Here is a 24,421-nt window from a genome sequence, read left to right on the forward strand (position 1 = left end):
CTTGAAGACACCAAGAAAGAAATACCTTACATATATAGGAAAACCAATTTGAATTACAGCAGATTTTGCACTAGAAATCACAGAGACCAAAATGAAGTGGCATAACATTTTTCAACTGTGGAAAGAACTGTCAACCCAGAATTCTATATCCAGCAAAAATAGCCTTTAGGAATGAAGGAGAAATCAAGACATTCTCACATGAAAAAAATAAAAGAATGTGTTACCAGCAGACCTACCCTAAAAGAATGATTTTAGAAGTTGTATATAAAAAAGGAAATGATATAAGAAGAAATCATAGAATGTCAGGAAGAAAGAACATAATAAAGCAAAACTATGAGTAAATAGACAGATAAAGAGGTCATAGCTAAAAAGTACAAAATTCTTTGTGAGGTGATGAAAATTTCTAAATTTAACTTTGGTGAAGGTTGCACATATATGACTATATAAGAAGTCTCTGAAGTATATGCCTTAAATGGTAAATTGGACACAGATCTGTGCCTGCCAGCACCCTGCTCCTGAGCCAACACCACCACCAGCGAGACCAAACACACAGCCATCAGCAGGGACCCCCTGTCTCCCCCTAACTACACTGTCTCTGCCACTGTAGTGAATGCCCGCAGGGAGGCAAGCACCCCAGGACTCATGAGCACTCTGCCACAGCTGATGAGTGTGCACCCCACTGCACTGCCACTACTGCTGCTGCTGGCATGCACAAACAAGAATGGATCCTGCTATCACTGCACTACTGAACACTTTGGCTGACACAACCCATCTGAGTATAGTGACCAGCAGTCTGGGAGCACCTTGGCACCCCCAGCACAGTGGATTCCTAACCTTGAGGGGCCAGAGAACAAAACTGGGGCCTGATACAAGTCCCCCAGAGTTACAGCACACAGTCCAGGAGTTGGGAACAGAGCGTTGGCCCTTAAAATCTTCCAGAAATGAAGCTAGTCAGATGAATCCACCTAATATAACAATCAAACCCTCAAGATCATCAAATAGGATAAAAGAAAAAAAAAACATCCAAAGGTCAGCAGCTCAGATTGAAGCATAAGCCCATAAAGATGAGGAGCATAAGCCCATAAAGATGAGGAAGAACCAGCACAAAAACCCTGATAACCCCAAAACCCAAAGTGCCTTCTTTCTTCCAAATGACCACATCACCTCTCCAGCAATGATTCTGAACTGGGCTGAAATGGCTTAAATGACAGAAATAGAATTCAGAATATGGGAAGGAAGGTCATTAAGCTATAGAAGTATGTTAAAACCCAGTCCAAGGAAGCCAAGAATCATGACAAAACAATGCAGGAGCTGACAGACAAAATAGCCAGTATAGAAAAGAACCTAAGTGACCTGATAGAGCTGAAAAACACACTACAAGAATTTCATAATGCTATCACAAATATTAATAGCAGAATAGACCAAGCAGAGGAAAGAATCTCAGAGATCGAAGACTGGCTTTCTAAAATAAGACAGTCAGACAAGAATAAAGAAAAAAAGAATGAAAAGGAATGAACAAAACCTCTGAGAAATATTGAATTATGTAAAGAGATCAAGTCTATGACTCATTGGAGTCCCTAAAAGAGATGGGGAGAATGGAACCAACTTGGAAAACATATTTCAGTATATCATCTATGAGAACTTCCCCAACCTAGCTAGAGAGGCCAACATTCAAATTCAGGAAGTGCAGAGAACCCCAGTAAGATGCTTCACAAGAATAGCATCCCCAAGATGCATAATTTTCAGATTCTCCAAGGTTGAAATGAAAGGAAAAAATGTTAAAGGCAGCTAGAGAGAAAGGTCAGATCACCTACAAAGGGATACCCATCAGACTAACAGTGGACCTCTCAGCAGAAACCCTACAAGCAGAAGAGACTGGGAACCAATATTCAAAATTTTTACAGAAAAGAAATTCCAACCCAGAATTTCATATCCAGCCAAACTAAGCTTTATAAGCGAAGGAGAAATAAGATCCTTTTCAGATAAGCAAATGCTGAGGGAGTTCGTTACCACAAGACCTGCCTTATAAGAGCTCCTGAAGAAAGCACTAAATATGGAAAGGAAACACCAGAGTCAGTCACCACAAAAACACACTGAAGTACACAGACTAGTTACACTATAAGGCAACCACATAAACAAGTCTGCAAAATAACCAGTTACCATCATGATGACAGGATCAAATCTACACATATCAATACTAACCTTGAATGTAAATGGGCTAAATGCCCCAGTTAAAAGGGACAGAGTGGCAAGCTGGATAAAGAACTAAGACCCATTGGTATGCTGTCTTCAAGAGACCCATCTCACATGCAATGACACACATAGGCTCAAAGTAAAGGGATAGAGGAAAATCCACCAAGCAAATGGAAAAACAGAAAAAAAATCAGGAGTTGCAATCCTGGTTTCACACAAAACAGACTTTAAACCAGCAAAGATTTAAAAAGAAAAAGAAGGGCATTACATAATGGTAAAGGATTCAATTTAACAATAAGACCTAACTATCCTAAATATATATGCACCCAACACAGGAGCACCCAGATTCATTAAGTAAGTTCTTAGAGACCTTCAAACAGACTTAGACCCCCACACAATAATGGTGGGAGATTCTAACACCCCACTAACAATATTAGACAGATCATCAAGAGAGAAAATTAATAAAGATATTCAGGACCTGAACTCAACACTGGATCAAAAGAATCTGACAGACATCGACAGAACTCTCCATTCCAAAACAGCAGAATATACATTATTCTCATCGCCACATGGCACATATTCTAAAATTAATCACATAATCAGAAATAAAACACTCCTCAGCAAATGTGAAATAACTGAACTCATAACAATCTCTTGGACCACAGCACAATAAAATTAGAAATCAAGACTAAGAAATTCACCCAAAACCACACAATTGCATGGAAATTGAAAATTGAATAACCTGCTCCTGAATGATTTTTGAGTAAATTATGAAATTAAGGCAGAAATCAAGAAGTTATTTGAAACTAATGAGAACAAAGATACCAGAATCTCTGGGACACAGCTAAGGGCAGTGTTAAGAGGGAAATTTATAGCACTAAATGCCCACATCAAATAGTTAGAAAGATCTCAATTTAACAACCTAACATCACGACTAAAAGAACTAGAGAACCAAAAGCAAACCAAGCCCAAAGCTAGTAGAAGACAATAACCAAAATCAGAGCTGAAGGAGACTGAGACCAAAAAAAAAACCCTTCAAAAAGATCAGTGAATCTAGGAGCTGGTTTTTTGAAAAAATTAATAAAACAGATAAACTGCTAGCTAGACTAACACAGAATAGAGAAGATCAAAATAAACCTAATCAGAAATGAGGAGGATATCACCACTGACCCCACAGAAATACAAATAACCATCAGAGAATATTATGAACACCCCTACACACATAAGCTAGGAAATCTAGAAGAAATGGATAAATTCCTGGAGACATACACCCTCCCAAGACTGAACCGGGAAGAAATCGAATCTCTGAACAGACCAGTAACAAGCTCTGGAATTAATTCAGTAATAAATAGCCTACCAACTGAAAAAAGCCCAGTACCAGATGGGTTCACAGCTGAATTCTATCAGATATACAAAGAAGAGCTGGTACCATTCCTGCCAAAACTATTCCAAAAAATTGAGGAGGATGGACTCCTCCCTAACTCATTCTATGAGGCCAGAATCATCCTGATACCAAAACCCGAAAGAGACATAACAAAAAGGAAACTTCAGGTCAATATCCTTGATGAACATCGATGCAAAAATCCCCAACAAAATACTGTTAAATTGAATCCAGAAGCACATCAAAAAGCTTATCCATCACCATCAAGTAAGCTTTATATCTGGGATGCAAGTTTGGTTCAACATATGCAAATCAATAAATATGATTCATCATATAAACAGAACTGAAGACAAACACAACATGAATTATCTCAATAGATGCAGAAAAGACTGTCGATACAATTTAACAACGATTCATGTTAAAAACTCTCAATAAACTAAGTACTGAAGGAACATACCTGAAAATAATAAGAGCCATCTATGACAAACCCACAGCCAACATCATACTCAATGGGCAAAAACCAGAGGCATTCCTCTTGAAAACCAGCAAAAGACAAGGATCCCCTCTCTCACTACTCTTACTTGACATAGTATTCGAAGTCCTAGCCAGAGCAATCAGGCAAGAGAAAGAAATAAAACATATACAAATAAGAAGAGAGGAAGCCAAACTAGCCCTGTTTGCAGACGACATGATGCTATATCTAGAAAACCCAACAGTCCTGGCCCAAAAGCTTCTTAAGCTGATAAACAACTTCAGCAAAGTCTTAGGATACAAAATCAATATGCAAAAATCACTAGCACTCCTATATAACACCAATCAAACTGAGTCAAATCCCATTCACAGTTGCCACACACACACACACACACACACACACACACCCCTAAGAACACAGCCAACCAGGAAGGTAAAAGATCTCTACAAGTAGAACTATAAAATACTGCTCAAATAAATTAGAGATGACATAAACAAATGGAAAAACATTCCATGCTCATGGATAGGAAGAATCAGTATCATTAAAATGGCCATACTATCCAAAGCAATGTATAGATTTGATGCTATTCCTTTTAAACTACCAAAAAAAAGTTCAGCATCATAAATCATTAGGGAAATGTAAATCAAAACCACAAGGAGATACCATCATCACTAGTATCAAAAAGTAAAAAAATAAAACAAAACAAACAAACAAACAAAAAACATGCTGACAAGGTTGCAGAGAAAAAGAACACTTATTATACACTGTTGGTGGGAGTGTAAATTAGTTCAACCATTGTGGAAGACAGTGTGGCAATTCCTCAGACTTAAAAACAGAATCCCATTCAACCCAGCAATCCCATTACTGATTATATACCCAAAGGAATATAAATCATTCTATCATAAAGACACATACACGTGTAAGTGCATTGCAGCAATATTCACAATAGCAAAGACATGGAATCAACCTAAATGCCCATCAGTGGTAGTCTGGATAAAGAAAATATGGTACATATACACCATGAAATACTATGCAGCCATAAAAAGAATGAGATTATGTCCTTTGCAGGAACATGAATGGAGCTGGAGGCCACTATCCTAAGTGAATTAATGCAGAAACAGAAAACCAAATACTGGATGTTCTCACTTATAAGTGGGAGCTAAATGATGAGAACTTATGGACACATAGAGGGAAACAACACACACTGGAGGGTGAGAGGAGGGAAAGGATCAGGAAAAATAACTAATGGGTACTAGGCTTAATACCTGGCTATTGAAATAATCTGTACAACAAACTATGACAGAAATTTACCTATATAACAAACCTGCATACATACCCCTGAACTTAAAAGTTAAATTAAGGCTGGGCGCGGTGGCTCACGCCTGTAATCCCAACACTTTGGGAGGCCGAGGCGGGTGGATCATGAGGTCAGGAGATCAAGACCATCCTGGCTAACATGGTGAAACCCCGTCTCTACTAAAAATGCAAAAAATTAGCTGGGTGTGGTGGCAGGCGCCTGTAGTCCCAGCTACTCCGGAGGCTGAGGCAGGAGAATGGCGTGAACCTGGGAGGCAGAGCTTGCAGTGAGCCGAGATTGCACTACTGCACTCTAGCCTGGGCGATGGGGCGAGACTCTGTCTCAAAAAAAAAAAAAAGAAAAGAAAAAATCTCTCAATAATTTGTTTTCATGTATAAAACTTTGTTGCAGGATATCTGACAAAAATCGGTGAACTGTATGGTATGTGAATTTTATCTTAGTAAAGCTGTTTATAAAAATCAGAATAGTGGCTATTTGATAAAAAGGGTAGAAGAGAACTTTCTGGACATGCTGGGAAAGTTCTATATCTTGATCTAGGTAATGCCAACATAAATATATGTACATGTTAGTCTAAATAAATCAAGCCATCCATTTATAATTTGTGTACTTACTCTTATGACAATTATACCTCAATAAAATATGTTACTGTAAAAAAATTAAAAGGTAATTTCACATTTCTTTCCAAAGTGCTTTTAGCAATTTACATTCACAAGAATACTGTATTAAAATTCCCACGCTCAACATCTCCCAACTGTAATACCGATAATCAGATGGGCTAAACATGGAACTTTGCTGTGGTTTTAATTATCAGTCTCTTATTGCTAATGAGGATGGTCATATTTTTCTTTATTTCTGATATTCATGGTTCAGAAAAATGGTCTTTTTATACCATTTGCCCAATGTTTCACTGATTTGACATTTTCTTATCTCTTTCTTATCACATACATGTGTTATAATAATCTAGAATGGAGTCTTGTTCTTTCTCTTGTGATGGTATATTCCCATAATCTGGAAATTTATGGCATAGTCAAAACTAAAGATATTTAACCACAGAATTTATGGAGTGTTTTTCTCTTTTAAAATAAATGCTTTTCTGACACAAATTTTTAAGTTTTTATCCTATGTTGTATTCAATACTTAGAAGTGTGTGTGTGTGTGTGTGTGTGTGTGTGTGTGCACGTGTGTATTATGAGGTAGGAATCCAGTTTTATTTCAACATTTTTCTTTATTTTTCCATAGAGGTAATCTATTTTGTTTTTACCACTCAAGGATGCATAATTTCTGGATTCTTTTTTTCATTAATAATTTTTTTCTGGCCGGGTGTGGTGGCTCACGCCTGTAATCCCAGCACTTTGGGAGGCCGAGGCAGGCGGATCACCTGAGGTCAGGAGTTTGAGACCAGCCTGGCCAACATGGTGAAACCCCATCTCTACTAAAAATACAAAAATTAGCTGGGCATTGTGGTACGTGCCTGTAATCCCAGTTATCTGGGAGGCTGAGATGGGAAAATCGCTGGAACCCGGGAGGCCGAGGCGGCAGTGAGCTGAGATCGCACCACTGTACTCCAGTCTGGGTGACAGAGCAAGACTCCGTCTCAAAAATAAAGAAAAAATAATAATAATAATATTTTTTTCTACTCTTTTACCACTGATACACTGTCTTACTATTTATTGTTTTATAATGAACCTTAATGTCTACAAGGGCAAAAAGAATCGTTATTTAGATTCCTAGTAAACTAAAAGGTAAAATCGTGATATTTTTTAATAGCGAATATGTAAAGATGAGGATTTTTATCTTTAATTTCCTCAGATGCTTTGTATTGTGTCAAATTAGTCAAAAACAAGTTGAAACATGCATATTTTTATTTTCCAAATTAATGTATTCAGGCAAAAATTATTTGCCCTTAATAGCATATTATTTTACATTTCTGTTCACCATTCATCCAAACAATAATGACAATAGAAGTCCACAGGCAGCACCACAACACATTATGAATTTACTCTGACTTTCAATTTTGCATATTTTCAGTTTGTTTTTTTAACTTGACTCTTGATAATTGCGAATATGAAGTCAGAGAGGTTTGGAAAGACGATGCTTTCCATTGTGTTTTATTCTATTTTGAGGAGTCTTTGATATCTAAGAATGGGCATCCTCTTTGACTACATAGCTGCTTTCTAGCCATTAATTGGGTATCATGTTCTTAGTGGAATGAGAAAAACCTGGAAGAACCCTCGCCCAGATTTAAATAGGAGTGAATGCTTGCATTGTTTGAACACATTCACATATTTGAACATCTTTGAATGAGGGGGTTATCTCTAGTTATCTATTAATGATTTGTATTTACTAAATTTTATAGTTCTTTCTTGTTCTTCAACTGTTTTGAGTATTGAGAGTAAACTATGGAAATATGAATATAGTGTTAAGTTTTAAAAATGGTCCCATAAAACATTGAAATCTAGATAATTAAGACTTACCTCTATTTCTTTTCTTAATTTTTCATGTGTCTTTTTTTCTTCCTCAAGAAAACAAGTTTTTTCAATGATAGATTCTTTTACAGTTATAATTTTATCCTTTAAGTTTGTAATGTCTTCCTGTATGTTGACAACATTTGAAATATAGAAGTCAAAAAAGGATGATCAATATAAATCCAATTTTTCAGTGTTTCTATAATTTAAGAAAACTAGCCAAATCAAAATTTAGTTTTGATAAATAGCATTAGAATATTACTTCTATACGTATACAAAAATAAAGAACTGTTACTCAAAGAAACCTTACATTTGACACAGAACTAAAAACCAAATGAAAATAAGACAAAAAGGAAAGTGGTAGTTATGGTGGCAACTGCCGAACAACAGTGTAAAAGACACTTTTTAATTCTCTAGCAAGAAATGATCAATATTTTAAGTTTGTGTCTTCTATCGTCTTCAAAGAACAGTAAGAGAAATAGTAAGATGCTTAAGGTTCAGTTATTAATTTATATTGCTTGCATAACACCATTAAGTGTACTAAATTGATTTGAATTGGTCTGGATCCATTGGCATAGAAGCTAAGTCTTTAACATTTTTGTGAATTACATTTTCTACAACAAATGGATTAATTGTTCACTGTGATTTTATTTGACCATGTAGTTTTATAAATCTACAGGGGATTTGTGGATGTTTCCTTTATGCATTTGAGCATCTAGGGTCGTTGTTATATAACACATGTACTTATTCCAAGTTTTTTTCAATTATGAAAATAGTTTCTGAAGGTAATAGGACAGCTATGGGCATTTTATTAACTTCACAATAAATTTATCATTTAATGTATGTACTTGCAAAAAAGGAGTAATAGAAAAAATAGTTTTACTAAGTAATTTTGCACACCTGTACTTGTGTTATTCGGTTCCCTCCTGGATTTTGAAGATCTTGCATAAGTTCTTCTTTCATTGTCTTTAATTTTTTAACAAAATCTCGCTTTTCATGGAGTTCAGTCATAAATGACCATTTGCTCTCTACTTCCCCCAAACTATTTTTATGTGCTTTTATTTTTGCATAATATGCATTATATTTTATCATGTGTTCCTCAAAATCTTCTTGGGCTGTTTCTATGTCAAATTTAAGCTTTACATTTTCTGAATGTAAGGATTTGATTTGAGTTTCCAGGCTATCACAATGAAGTTTGGTATTCTCTATGGCAGAATCTTGTTGATAAATTTGTCTTTCTGTTTCTTTAGTTTCTGCAGAGATAGCTGCTATTTCTTTTTCAAGCTCATGAAGTTCATTCTGTAATACATTTTAACATTATCATTATTAATTCAAAATATTAAACATGAGAGGAAAATCAATGTTTTAATCCATAATGAATATAGGAAAAATCACTTATAAGAATATATTTATCAGATATTTAAAAATTAATGAATACAAGGAAACATGCAATAAACACAATTATTTTATAATTTCAGAAGGACCTCAGTTATATATTTTTTAATGTTCATCTAATTCTAAATATTAAAATCTCATTGTTTTATCTTGACATTTTATATATGTAAGATACTTTATAATAATTTTACTAATTTATTTATAGGCATCAGAAGTATACACTCAGGGAAGACAATATGATAAAAAATGATAAAGCCCTGAGTTAAGAATCAAAAGATCTAGGTCCAGCACACTTATTGCTATTTACTACTTCGTATGATCATGCATAACAAACTTAATTACCCCATTCAAACTACACTTTCTCCATTTGTAAAATGAGTATAAAGATATTTACTTTGCCTCCCTGGGGCATTTTGCATTGCTAACTGCTGCCTTCTTTTTAAAGCCTAGTTTTCACACCACCAGTCTTCTGGTTCTCCTTAGAAATTTCTGAGAATTCCTTCTCAATCTCAACAGTTCCTTCAAATATAGGTCTTCTGCAGATTTCAGTCATCATAATTTCCTCTTCTCACTCTCTATATATGCTCCTTGGGTAATTTCACCCAAATTTACATCTTCAGCTACATATCTGCCGATGATTCACAGAATATAAGTGGCTGCTGAGTTCTACACCCAGCTGCCAATGGCCACCTCTAATTCACTATATCCAAAAATTGAATGAATCCTTTCTACAACCTCAGCCTATTACTCCTTGTATCAATTATCTGTTGCCAGAATCACAAAACCTCAGTAGCATACAACAATACATAAGTATATATTGCTGACATGACTAGGAGCAGCTGAGGTTGGCTAGGTAGTTCATAAGCCTGGGAGAAGCAAGGGTTGGCTAGGTGGTTCTGCTGATCTTGATTGAATCTGCCCAAGTGTCTGGGGATTGGCTGATTGTAAGATGATTTAAATTGGCTTTAACTGGGCTGACAGGGGTGTCTTGGCTTTGCTTTATGTGTATCTTCTCCTCCAATGGGCCAACCCAGGCATGTCTTATGATAATAATAGATGCAGAAGAGTGAAATTCAGTTATGGAAGAGTTTTTTAAAGCTTTTGTTTCAGTCACAACTGATAACACCCCAGCTAGTTACATAATCAAACCCAGAGTCAAGGGGTGGAAGTGTGTCCATCCATTATGGGAAAGCATTGTAATGTATGGCAAAGGGTACGGATAGACTAACGGATGAAAAACTGGGACCAAAAATGCAAATGATCACACTCCTATGTTCCCCAACTTAGTTAATGTTACCACCTTAGCTCTTCCCTTCTTTTAAATAACTGTCTAAATGTTTCTCAAATTCTGTAGATCTTCCCACCAAAATAACTCTGTAGGCCATCCTCCATAGTCCTCTTCTTATCTACTATGGTCATTCTTTTTAAGTAAATTTGTAATGTTAGAGGGCATTGTTTTAAAAAATGCAAACTTCCTTGTATCCTTTTCCTGGCAGAGAAAAAGGAGGTAAGTTCACTGAAAAATACAATATGGCAATGAACCTCAATTTTTATCATCAGCTCTGATGTTTCAAATGCTCACTTGACATTTTTATATGTATGTTTACCAGACATCTCAACTATACATATTCAGAAAAAAAGTTTAATTTACACACCAAACATATTCCTCCCCCAGACTTTCTGATTTCAATAAACTGTACCACTTTCCACCTGGATACTCAAAAGCCTAGAAATCATTCTTGATTCTTCCCTTTCCCTTACCCCCACAACCTATTTCTCATCAAATCCTGATGGTTGGGCCTCCAAAATAAAATCCCCAATGCACTTCTGACCAGTCTTTGTAGTGTGACCTAATGTCTAACTCATCTCCCTATTTCCGTTCCTCCCCACTCCCCCAACTAGTCTGTGTATATCAGGCAGAAGAATCTTTTCAAAACATAAATCATATCATGTTATTTCCCTGCTCAACATCCTCCAGTGGTTTCCCATTGCATTAATAAAAAATTTCAAATTCCTGAAAGTGTTTTATAAGCCATATATGCCCTAGTGCCTATCTACTTTGCTATGCTTCTCATCTACTACTCTCCCTTTTTCCAGTCTCCTTTGTGTTGATTAAATATGTATAGTTCCTTCCGACCTAACGGCTTTTTAAATTATTGTTTGGTCTACTTTAAAATTCTCTACCCCTGGCTATTATCTGTTGGGTCTTTGTCTTTCACAATTCAGTATTATTATTATGTCTCAGAAGAGTCTTCCCTAAATCAAAATATAAATGAACCAACCACTATTCCACTCCTCCTCTAGTTACTCTCTACACATTACCCCATTGTATTTCCTTTGTAATACATCAATCTTTGAATTATCTTTATTTTGTTAATTTATTGCTTGCTTCCCCTGACTAGAAAGTAAGCTCTGTGGCTACAGGAACCATGTCTGTCTTCATTACCACCATCTTCCCACTGCTTAAAACAGTAACTGACACAAAGTAGGTGCTCAATAAATAAATAAATTCATTCAATAAATGAGTGAATGACTGATGCACAACCAATGGTCAGGAAAGGGACATATGCCCTGCTGGTTACATCAGGCTATCTATCAACTCTATTGGTCAATAGAAGAAGTATATTGACCCATACAATTTGGTTATCATCTCTTCTCTTTCTTGGACTAATGTAATTGACTATTAATTTTTCTTATTGGCTTTAGTTTCTTTTGCCTTTAATCCATTTCTGCCCTTACATGAGAATTACGTTATTTTTTTCTTCTCCCTCTCTTCTTTAATCTCCTCTGCCTCTTTTCCTCCCTCTTCCTCTTCATCCTTTTCCCCTTCTTCTCTCTCCTTTTTAAACTTACAGCTTTATCGAAGCAAAATTAATATAAATACATATTCGAACTTTACAATTTGATGAATTTTGACCTTCTTGTGCTCATAAGACCATCACCACAACTAAGATAATAAACGTAGTCATTATTCAAAAAAGTTTTCTCCTGATACTCTGTAAATTCATTCCTCCCTTTCCATCTCTCCATTCCTAGGAAACCACTGATCTGCCTTCCTTCTCTAAAGATTAGTTTGCTTTTCACTAATTTTATATAAATAGAATCATTTAATACATAATTTTAAGTCTTATTTCAATAAGCATAATTATTTCAAGATTCATCCATGTTGTTGTATATATCAATAATTCTTCATTTTTATTGCTAAGTAGTATTCCGTTGTATGGATATACCATATTAGTTTATTAGTTCATCTAACTGATGGGCATTTGGGTTGTTTCCAGTTTTCCAGTGGGCATACACATTTATTTCTCTTGGGTAAATACCTAAAAGTTAAATGGCTAGATTATACAGTAGGGATAGGTTTAACTTTTCAAGAAAGTATAAACTGTTTTCCTAAGTGGTTGTGTCATTTTACAGTCCATCTAACAGGTCTGAGAGTTCCAGGCCTTCCATATCTGCAACAACATTTGTTATGGTCAGTCTTTTTAAACTTAGCCATTCTAGTGGGTTGTGTGTGTGTGTGTGTGTGTGTGTGTGCCTGTGTGTGTGGATATTATAGTGGAAATTTAAGTATACTGTTAGATGTGTTTTCAAATATTCTCTCCTAGTCTGTGACAACCCAAATGGCCAAAGGGCCCCACCAAGAATACCTTAGTTTGTTTTCATAATAGTGTATATTGAAGAGCAAGTTTAAAAATTTTTTTGGATGAAATTCATCAAAATTTTTATGTCATATTAAAGAAATCATTGCCAAGCCCAACATCAATAAGTTTTTCTATGTTTTCTTCCAGATATTTTTTGTTTTAACTCTTAACATTCAGGCCTTTGATTCATTTTGAGTTAATTTTTGTATATGGTTTGAGGTGAAATTTGAGGTTCAGAATTTTTTTTGCATGAAAATATCCAATTGTTCTTCTACCATTTCATGAAAAGATTATCCTTCTCTACTGAATTGCTTTGGTACGTCTTCAAAAATCAATTGATATGTGTGGGGCTATTTCTGGGCACTTTAGTTTGTTCCATGGATCTATATGTCTAGCTATATCATATTATCCTGATTACTATGCCCTATAATAAATATTAAAATCAGGTAGTGTGGTAACATGGAAAGATATTTGGTCTTTGTTCCCAGTTATTGGTACAGAGCTCCTAAAACTCTTGTGTATTAGTCCATTCTGTGTTGCTAAAATAAATTCCTGAGTCTGGGTAATTTATTCAAAAAAGGTTTATTTGGCCCATGATTCTGATGGCTGGAAAGTTCAAGACTGGGCATCTACATCTAGTGAGGGCCTCAGGCTGCTTCTACTCATGGTAGAAGGTGAAGAGGAGCTGGCCTTTGCAGCAGTCACATGGTGGGAAAGAAAGCAAGAGAGGGAGCCGGGAGGCGCCAGGCTCTTTTTAACAACAAGCTCTCAGGGGAACTAATAGAATGAGAACTCCTTTGCTCCCAAAGGAGGGCATTAATCTATTCATGACAGGATCTGCCTCCATGACCCAAACACCTCCCACTGGGCCCCATCTCCAACACTAGGGATTAACTTCCAACATGAGGGTTGGAGGGGACAAACATCCAAACCATAGGACCTTGGGATTTCCTAAGTGACAAGGGTGATAGGATGATCTTTTGTTCGAATGAATTAATTCTTGGTGGGTCTCTACATAGTTTAGGATGGGGGCTGGCTGTCAAAAAGCCCAAGCCTTGATTAGAAGACTGAAACTTTTAGCCCCATTTCCCCAGTCTTCTGGGAGGAAAGAGGGGCTGGAGATTGAGTTAATAATGTGATGAAACCTCCATAGGAAACCTTAAACTATGCGGGGTTGAGAGAGCTTCTGGGTTGGTATAAACATATTGAGGTGCTGGAAGAGTGGAGCGCCCAGAGACAGCATAGAAGCTCCTTGCAGGCCCCCTCCCACATACCTATCCCCACGCATCATCTCTTCCATTTGGCTATTCCTGAGTTGTGTCCTTTATAATAAATGGGTAATAGGTGCTTTCCTGAGTTCTGTGAGTCATTCTAAAAATGCTCAAACCTGGTGAGGGGTGCGGGGAAAGTATGGGAGTAGGTTGTGAGAACCTCTGATTTTATAGCCAGTTGATCAGAAGTATGGGTGGCCTGGGACTTGTGATTGGCACATGAAGCAGGGGCAGTCTTATGGGACTGAGCCCTTTAACTTGTGGGATCTGATGCTAATTCCAGGTAGATACAGTACTCCCTCCTTATCCAAGGGGAATATGTTCCAAGACCTCCGTGGACGTCTGAAACCATGGACAGTACTGAACTCTATATACACTATGTTTTTTTTTCCTATACATATATACCTATGATAAAGTTTAATATATAAATTAGGCACAATAAGAGAATAACAATAACAACAAAATAATTATAACGATATACTATAATAAAAGTTATGTGAATGTGGTCTCTCTCTCCTATCTTATTGTACTGTACTCAACATGCCCAGCTGTTTTGTATTTTTAGTAGAGACAGGGTTTCACCATGTTGGCCAGGCTGGTCTCGAACTCCCGACCTCAAGTTATCCATCTGCCTCGGCCTCCCAAAGTGCTGGGATTAGACGTGAGCCACCACGCCCAGCCAGGAATTTATTTTTTCTTCTTTACAACTTCACAGATGGATGATTTGTCCTTACCATAGATCTTAGCAACTTCAGTGTATGATTTTTTTCTTTCCTTTAAGTTAAGAACTTTCACCTTCTCACTTAAAGTAAGTACTTTACAGCTTCTCTGTGGCATATGTGAATTGCCAGCATCACTACGCTGATACTTTGGGGCCATTAAGTAAAATAAGGTTTAGTTGAACATAAGCACTGTGATACTGCCACAATCAATCTGATAACTGAGACGACTACTAAGTGACTAATGAATGGGTAGCTCATATGGCATAGATGTGCTGGACAAAAGGACGACTCACATCCCAGGCAGGATGGAGCAGGACAATGCGAGATTTCATCATGCTACTCAGAATGACTTGCAATTTTAAATTTACAAATTGTTTATTTCTGTAATCTTCCATTTAATACTTTTAGAATGCAGCTCACTGTGGGTAACTGAAACTGCAAAAACAAAACTGCAAATAAGGGAAAACTGTTGTAGTGTCAGAACTGAATCAAATCATTGGACACCAAGTTGGCATCCAGAGAATCAGAAAATTGGTTGTTAGTGTTAGAAAATGTCCCAGGTAGTATAAGATTTCCAACACTTTTCTTCTTCAAAATTGTTTTGGATATTCTAGGTCCTTTAAATTTCCATATGACTTTTAGAATTAGCCTATGTATTTCTCTCCCAAAAGCCTGCTGAAATTTTGACTGGGACTGCATTTCATGTATAAATAAAATTGAGAGAACTAACATATTAGCAATACTGAGTCTTCTGTTTCATAAAAATGATATACCTCTATATTTAAGTCTTCTTTAATTTTTCTCACCAATGTTTTACAGTGTTCAGCATACTGGTCTTGTAAACCTTTTGTCAAATTTGCCCCTAAGTATTGAATGGTTTCGATGGCATTGTAAGTAGTATTGCTTTTGAAGTTTTAATTTCTGATTTTCTCTTGCCAATGTGCAGAAATACAATATATTTTTGTATATTAATCTTATGCCCTGCAATCTTTCTAAACTCACTTATTAGTTCTAATAGCTTTTTATAGCTTCCTTGGGATTTTCTTTAAAAAAAAATGCCATCTGTGAATAAAAACAGATTTACTTCTTTCTTTCTAAACTGGATGAGTTTTATTTCTTTTTCTTGCATAGCTGTACTGGCCTGAACTACCAGTACCATCCTGAATAGAAGTAAGAGGAGACATCTTTTTCTTTTTCCTGATCTTAGGAGAAAAACATTCATTATTTCACCATTAAGTATGTGGCTGGTTGTAGAATTTATGTAGATGTTCTTCCTTAGACCAAGGAAGTTCCCTTTTATTTCCAGTTAGCTGAGAGTTATCATGAATGGATACTGGATTATAATAAGTGCTTTTTATGTATCTAGAATTCTTTCTAAAATATAAATTTAATATTTGTTTCTTGCTTAAAATCTGTCAAATGCTCATCAACTTTAGAATAAAGTTGAAGTTTCTTATCGTGGTATAAATCTTCCATGATTTTTCAAAACATACTGTAATTTACATTACCATCAAACTATTTATGGTTCTAGGAATGTACCAATGCTATTTCAGGCCTCTGCAAATGTCCTCTGTGAATATCCTCAGGTTCTTTTTATTTTGAATATTATCTTCCTTACTCCCTAACCTTTAAACCTGTCCTAGACACCTAATCATTCAGATGAACTCCAGCTGCCATTTAAAACTCAACTGAAACATCATTTCTTTTGTGATCACTCTTTCTCTAGTGTTAAATCTGTGTTGTGTTCATGCCTCTACCATTGACACTACTACTCTACATGTAATTATTTGTTTACTTCTTTCTCTTCCCAATAGATGGTAAGTAACATAAGAGTGAGGACAATGTTCAGCAAAATGCTTAACACAAAGTAGGCTCTCAATATAAATGGAATAAAGTCTATGAAACTCTTTGAAGACTGAAAAGTTTTACAAAAAATTTCTTTACAAAAATATGACATTATTTTTTGAATTATATTCTACTGTATAGATGTATTCTTTTCTAGAAGTGACTAACATAATACAAGTATTTATAAGAAATCCATATCACCATGATAATACAATTATTGTCATCATATATCTACTGATGCACTTAAAACCAGTGATACTTAAAGCCAATGTCAAATAGGGCCCTACCAGTACCATGTCCACCTGGTCCCCACCAAACACATTAACTCATTTAATCCTCATGAAAAGCTTATGGGCACGTCCTATTGTTATCTCTGTTTTACAACTAAGGAAACAGGAGCACAACAAATTCACGGAACAAAAAGTAGTAAATTTGGCCTTTTGAACTAGGCAGTTCAGCTCCTGAGCCTACTCTTCTCATTTCTATGATATATTTAATAACAATCGTTACAGAGCACAAGATACTGTTTTCATTTTCATTTCTTTAGTCATATTCACATAGTATAGTTATATCTAATTACGTTGCATGCGAAGACCAAGTATGGCTCCCAAATTCCCTGCAGTAGGATTATCAATATATTTAAAAAGGAAAGGAACATAGAGGGAGGCTACTTGAAATGTTCACTGACAGCAAGTAACTCACAATCCATAGCTTTACAAACACTGGCTTAAAACTTAACCTTCCTTCAATTCAGCATTTTAGGAAACACTATCAAATAAGGGAATGTAAAATAATTCTATCTAACATGTTAGGTTTTATATGCTTATCCTACAGTTGCAATGACATTGTTGAATCTTTATATGTTGGGAGTGTAAAATTTTCCATAAAACTGGAATAGCCATGTAAACCTTACTTAGGGAGAACAGAATAATTGACAGAGAATAACTTTAAAAGTGACTCCCAATAATAAGTATTTTTAATAATCTCCTGGTCATTTACTTTTGAAGAAAGTAAAGACATTTAAAAGACTATATAAAGAAGTTACCTTCAAATTGAACAGAACCTTTTTGTTTTTTTCTATCTCTGATGCTTGTGATTGTTGTTGCTTTGCAACTTTCTCTACAGCATCAGCTAATGAACTTGTGTCTTGGTTATCTACAATTAGACAAAAGAATAAAGTATATAATAAAAATTAAAATACAGCCATTTTAAGAAAGTTATGTTTCTTTACTCAAAATCATGAAATATTTGATACTTTTTCCTTCTAAACTAAATTTAGAATTAGTAATTTTCCCTTGCTGATATAAACAAAACCAAAAGTAAAGGCAACAATAATAGGCAATTCAAAGTTGCCTACTGCAATGTCATACCCGTTCCTCTACGGAACAGTATAAATATTTTGATTGTCCTAATTTTTTTTATCCAGACCACTTGCACATATACTATAATTATAGTGCTACCATAACAACTCTATAGCAATTAGAGTTGATGCATTTTCATTGTAGGTCTGTATTTTCAGGTTGATATGCCTTTGCTAAACACTGTATATGTTTGTCCCAGCTAAATGTAACTGCTTCCATCTATTCTAATTTGCTATCAATTTTAACACAATTATCCTGCCAGACTACTTTTTTGTTGTTGCTGATCTTTTAATTATTTATTTCTTAAGACTGTTTCATTACCTTCTTTAGGAAATCCTTGACTCTTCCTTTCTTTGTTGTCTGACATTTTCTGTGTCTGTAATCTCTTTTCCCCTTTTTGATTTACCTTCTTTACTCCTACTCAATAATCTATATTGATAATCTTTCACTTTTGTTTTTTCCTGTTGTATATTGGTGATCCTGAAAGGTAAATTAATTGTCAAACATGTCACAGGGATGTCAATGACATTTTATCATTAGTGCCAAGAATTAGAATACAATGGTTAAGTGATTTTGGAATGAAAGTAGAACTGCATTTGTATTTTGCTTCTCCTGCTTTTCTGCTGTGGTGACCTTGAGTAAGTTTCTTAACTTCTTTGATCTTCAGCCCCTCATCTTCAAAACTTCATAAGGCTGTTCTAATAATTAAAGTAATATATGTAGCATGCATAGAACAGTACCTGATATACACTGCATAATTATTTTGGGTTAGTATTAATAGTATGTAACTCCAGTACTATGATGAAATAGATTCTGAGACTATAACCAGAATCTGTGAGAAACAATATCAATAATGATTAACAATTTCTGCTATGGGTGTGGAATCCAGGAAATATAGCACTCCTGTCCAGTGCTATTCTGGAGAGGGCAGGCCCTAAGCAAATTTTGATCTACTCTTTATTTAGGAGTAATGATAGGAGGAATAAGTATTTTTCTCCTTAAATCACTAAATATCTTTTCTAAAGATCAATTAACTACAAAGCATTCATGTACTAGTTACATGTGTTTAAAAAAATTTAAAGGATTGAAACCTGATATATATGCAACAAAAAAGAAAAGCAAAGTTAAATCAATTCCTGTGTAGAGATCAAATCTATCTAGAAATATACAACTAAGCTAAAGAAATCCTGAGAGCTTACCTAGCAGATTATCATAACCATTCCTTGAAATTTATAATTCTTTCCTGTCGCTTCATGTCACTTCCTTCAAATCTCACTTCAAACTTACTCCTTCATGAAGTCTTCCCTGATGCTGAGCTATTCACTCCGTTCATGTTACATCCTTTCTGCTCAACACACAGAACTGTCCCAGATTAGTGCTAATGAATCCAAATCTGATTTTCTCTCTAGCTCTTTCATCTGGGTTTCATGGTCACAGACTTCATCCTTTAATATATCTACCTTGAAAAATGCATGCCCTCTACATTTATACTTTCAGTATATACTGTCAGTTCTCTCAATTAATTACAATGGTAAATACTTACATCATACTTACTTTGTGCTAGTCACTGTTGTTCCAAGTGCTTTAGATTAAAAAAAAATTATATAGTGTTTATTCTGTGCCAGATGGTGTTCTAAGAACTTTACAAATAGTAACTCATTTAACCCTATAAGGTAGATATTATTACAATGTTCATTTTACAAAAAAAAGTACAGGGAGGTACACAAATGGATATAAGAATTTACCCAAAGAGAGCCATTCAATGTAAGATATGTGATTTGAATTCAAGTATTTTGGCTCCAAAGTTCATGCTCTTAATGCTAGACTATGATAGACTACCAAGATTATGATTTTTTATGGGAAGAATTATGTCTTCCATATATCACTCCAGAATCAAACTAGAGTCATCCCACAGTATATGCAGGGGATTTGTACCAAGTTACCCCCTTCCCCACTTCATATCAAAATCTGTGCAAATTCAAGTCCCAAAGTCAGTGCTTCGGAGCTGACTTACACGAAAACTTCGTCCTCCTTACACGTGGGTTTCAAGTCCCGCGTATACTGTATATTTGATACTAGTTTGGTTGAAAATACTCATGGATAAGTGGACCTGCACAGTTCAAACCTGTGTTGTTCAAGGGTCCACTATATTTTGTATTCCTATGATGCTAAAACGTCACTTTAATCAACTTACTCTTTCTATTCCCACTACTACCATCTATATTTCTTCTTCGAGAAACTATTCTGGTAAAGTGCATTTATAGAGCTGCTGCAGTTCCAACAGACCTCCAATGGCCTAATGACACAATTTGCATGCCTGAAGAGGTAATCCAATGAGTTCTTCATGCTCTTACCTAGCAGTAAATTCCTGCTAGGTAACTTACTTTCCTGGCGAGTCCCCATTTCTCTCTCCCCCAAATCACAGTGCAATTTCCATAAGCTGCCTAAAATATTGTGGGCATAATTCCCATTAAATTCTACATCCCTATTAACTTCAGTCTTCAGAAGAAACCAGGTCATTCTTCATCATAAGAACCCATCCTTATTCAGCTTGGTAAGTCCTTTAGTGTGATGCTGTATTACCCACTCCCCAACCCTTTTCTATCCTTTCACTTTGACTTCTCAAATTCATGGGCCATCTTCAGCAAAGTCCTTTCTATTGTCAACCTTTTCAGTGAACTTCCCTTTTACCTTTTGGCTTTAACTGAAGTCCAAAGATACAGCTTCCTCATCCTCAAGCCACTAAGTCTGGAGATGAAACATTTTTTTCTGTTCTCCATTCCACTGCCACCATATTTCCTTTTCTTCTCTCTAAAACCCTCTCTAGTTTCTTTGAAATTCAGGCCATAGACTATATAGGCTTTAACTTTCCTTGCTGTTATCAGCTGTCTTACAGGTCTTGGAAGGCTCATTCCTAGATTACAGCATCTGACTTACTGTTCCTCTATCACTACTCTCTTGTATTTCTTTGGAAATTTCAATATCCACAAAAATAGTATATCTAAATCCCTGAACGTTCAGTTGCTTGATGTCTTCTTTCATCTATTCTCCCCAGCAACCCATAGAGTATAACTCTACCTTATCCATAATCTCAGATGCAAACTACTGTTTATTCTTCTAGCTCATCCCATCTAGTATTTTGACAGTATGTGCTGTTTAACCCCGCAAGACTTCCAATCCATCGACTCTTGTATCTTTACACATTCCCTTAGCCCTTCATGTATTCTTCCCTCCTTACTTGGCTTAGATTCCTTTGCATTCACCCTCATTTCCCTTACAGCTCACTCCCTGTCCTAATTCCCTGGAAGAATCTCAACCAGCTGCTTTGCTTATACTCAAGTAGCTGAATATGCTTAAAGAAAGACATGCAACTATGCTGTTGACTCACTTTAAATTCAAGACCATTTATGTCAAGTGGGCCCTTGATCCTAGGCTCTTAACATGCACCAAGTTATGTAGATGATTGTTTCACTCTTTATCCTGTCTTCAAACCTCTCACACCTCTTTTCCCTTCCTTTGAGTTGGTAATTTACCTTCTAATCTAACTGAGATAGAAGAAAAAAATCAGAGAAGATGGTAAATTACCCATCTACCAGATTTTGTACCTGCACCTGTATATCAGCATACTGTTTTCTTGCAATAAATAGTGTTCTTGCTCCTATCTAAGGCCAATCCTCTACTTTTGTACTCCTTTCTCACAGACATTACTTCTTTGAATGGTCCCTCAACAGAATTTCCCCATTTACTTGGTCAAACGTATTATTCTGAACAGCCCATCATAAATCAACAACCACTACCACCACCAACCTTGCTTGACACCATAACCTCCTTCAGTACTGACCCATTTCTTTGCTCCCCTTTAAAGCCAAGATCTTTGGTCTCCACTTCCTCTCCTCTTTCTTCTTGAACCCACTAGAACCAGTCATTTATCACTGTACTTTTAAAACTTTTATCACGGTATCTATGAGCTCCACATTGCCACATTCAATGAACAAGTTCCGTCTTCATTTTACTTGACCTATTGGCATCATTTAACACATTTGATAATTACTGCCTTCTTGAAATACCATACTTCTTGGTTTCCTTTGCTGGTCCCTTCTCATCTTTTTCACTTATGTCACACCTCCTAGTGCTCGGTCCTCAGGCTTCCTTCTTTTCTCATACTTATTCTACATGTGATGCCATCTAGTTCTATGGCTTTAAAATCCACCTATAGGCTGACAATTCCCAAATTATATCTCTACCCTGAACATCCCTTTTGAGCTGTAGACTCATACTCATTGCCTACCTGATAACTCCATTTGGATTTTTAATAGGCATTTCAACTCAATATATCACAAACTGAACTTTTGATTCCTCTGTCCACTCTATTACCACCATTAAACCTGCACCTTCATAGTCTTCTCTATCTCAGTAAATTATAAGTTCATTTTTCTTGTTGTTCAGGCCAAAAACCCTGAGTTCATTAGCAGGGAGGTCTCTACAAGGATATAGAGCCCAAGGCAATTCAACTAGACTTGCCCAAGGCAATAATAAAGGAGATCTTATTGTTGATGTTTCATAGGCCCTTTGAGAAATCCTTAACACTCCAAGGCTGCTGCCCCGATTGACCTACCCAAAGGATGAGCCAGAACCTTCACTCTTTTTCCATTACAAGCTGCATGCAGTTCTTTTGGCAAAGCCCATTGGCTCTACCTTTAAATTATACTGGAATCCAATCACTCCTTACCAATTCCAAATACTATCTTAGTAGAGAAGCCTTCCCTGATAACTCTCTTTCACCCTTGCCCTGCCTCATTTTTCTTGACAGCATCTATTACCACCGACATCTCATACACGTCTTTTCCATATCCTTCTACTAATGTAAGCTCCATGATGGCAGATGTCTAGAAGTGCCTGGCATATAACAGGTGTCTAATTATAGTCTATCTCCACTCCAGTTTGCCCTTTTCTAACAGAATAATGCTCCAAAAGCACTATTCTGATCACGTCAACATCACAGCCAATCTTTCAATTCCATTTAGATGGCATTTTCTTTAGGAGGTCTTTCTCGATCTTTCTGGGAAGATATGGTCTTTCTCTTTTTAGAAGAATTGTTTCAGTATTTCTATTATACCATTTTAGATAAAGGTATAGGTCTAGAGTAAGACAGAGCTAGTTTTAAATCTAGATTGCACTACTTATTAGCTTATTAGGAAAATTATTTCCAACCTGGGCCACAGATTCCTTACTTATAAAATGGGAACAATATTAGTGCCTGCTTCATTAGGGTTATTGTGAAGACTAAATGAAATAATGCATGTAAAGCATTTAGCAAATTCCTGTCACACAATGAATAATCAACATATTTTTATTTTTATTATTTTCATTATTTTATAGTATCTTTCCCCATTAGAGTGTAAGCACCGGGAAGACAAATACAGTGTTTTATTTATTTTTGTATTCCTTAAAGTATTTGATAAAGTAACCTAAAGAATAAAGAAAATTGGATTTATACAATAAAAATAAAGTAACTAGTACTTCTTGATCTCTATTTCTATAGCAACATAAATTGAAGAACTCTTGGATAATATTTATTTAAACCAAATATTCATAAAATTCATGCTGTAAAATTGGAAAAGTTTTAGTTTTTTTTCCCCAGACTTCTGTTGTGCAATGAAAAGAAAAATGAAAACAAACTACTGCCATCTACCGATAATTCATTAGAATTGCATAAATTAAGGAAACAGGCTTTAGAGACAACTCTTTTCAAACATGTTTTTAAGAGAAGTTAGAACATCATCAGAGACATCCAAAAAGAATTAATTGAATAATTAAAAATAAACTGTATACCTATTATACACCAGTACCGCTGAATCTGCTGACACTAGGGATTACTTCCTTTTCTGGCCAGGCAATGAGATTAGAGTTTCAGGGCACTGAAAAAGAAAGAAAACAGAGGGTTTGTACTGTTCCTTACCTCCTTATCCAAGATAATAATAGGCAACATTCATACATTATCCACACTGCTTCTAGGTTTCTACCAAAGGAGGGGCTTTGCTGAATGTATAGACAGTACTGGACTACCAAAACATCTCTTGTTTTGGAGTGTAGACATTAAGGGGTTGGTCTGCAGCTCAAATCCAAGCTTTAAAGGATGTCCAGGCAACTGTTTCGAAAAGATTTCTACCTCTGGGACAGAAGTTATATAGACCTTTGGTGAAATCCAGTTATAACCTACCTGCTTGTCTCATTCAGAGAGGCAAGGGGCAAGGTCTTTTATTTCCTCCCCCTCTAAACAAGTAAACATGATTTCCAAACCAAGAGGAACTTTATAGTGGGTTAAATAGTGCCCTCCCGCACATCCAAAGATAT

At 35.9% G+C, this 24,421-nt stretch overlaps 1 protein-coding gene across 10 annotated transcripts in view; it reads right to left on the reverse strand.

The window, feature by feature from the left end:
• The window catches only part of CCDC122 (coiled-coil domain containing 122), a 60,723-nt gene that overhangs the window by 31,925 nt on the left and 4,377 nt on the right, over nucleotides 1-24,421 (reverse strand). For 5 of the 10 annotated variants that reach the window (XM_047430112.1, XM_047430113.1, NM_144974.5 and 2 more), the window contains exons 2-6: nucleotides 23,900-23,985; nucleotides 18,389-18,547; nucleotides 17,752-17,861; nucleotides 8,730-9,128; nucleotides 7,839-7,955 (exon numbers count right to left, since the gene is read on the reverse strand). In XM_047430112.1, the coding sequence (XP_047286068.1) occupies nucleotides 7,839-7,955; nucleotides 8,730-9,128; nucleotides 17,752-17,861; nucleotides 18,389-18,434 (672 nt within the window). In that variant the 5' untranslated portion in view covers nucleotides 18,435-18,547; nucleotides 23,900-23,985. Of the gene's footprint in view, nucleotides 1-7,208; nucleotides 7,956-8,729; nucleotides 9,129-17,751; nucleotides 17,862-18,388; nucleotides 18,548-23,899; nucleotides 23,986-24,421 lie in introns of those variants that run through there. The other 5 variants (NM_001350617.2, NM_001350618.2, XM_047430114.1 and 2 more) reach the window with 4 other exon arrangements.

Source organism: Homo sapiens, chromosome 13 (genome assembly GCF_000001405.40).
Source record: "Homo sapiens chromosome 13, GRCh38.p14 Primary Assembly".
Classification (NCBI taxonomy): Eukaryota; Metazoa; Chordata; class Mammalia; order Primates; family Hominidae; genus Homo; species Homo sapiens.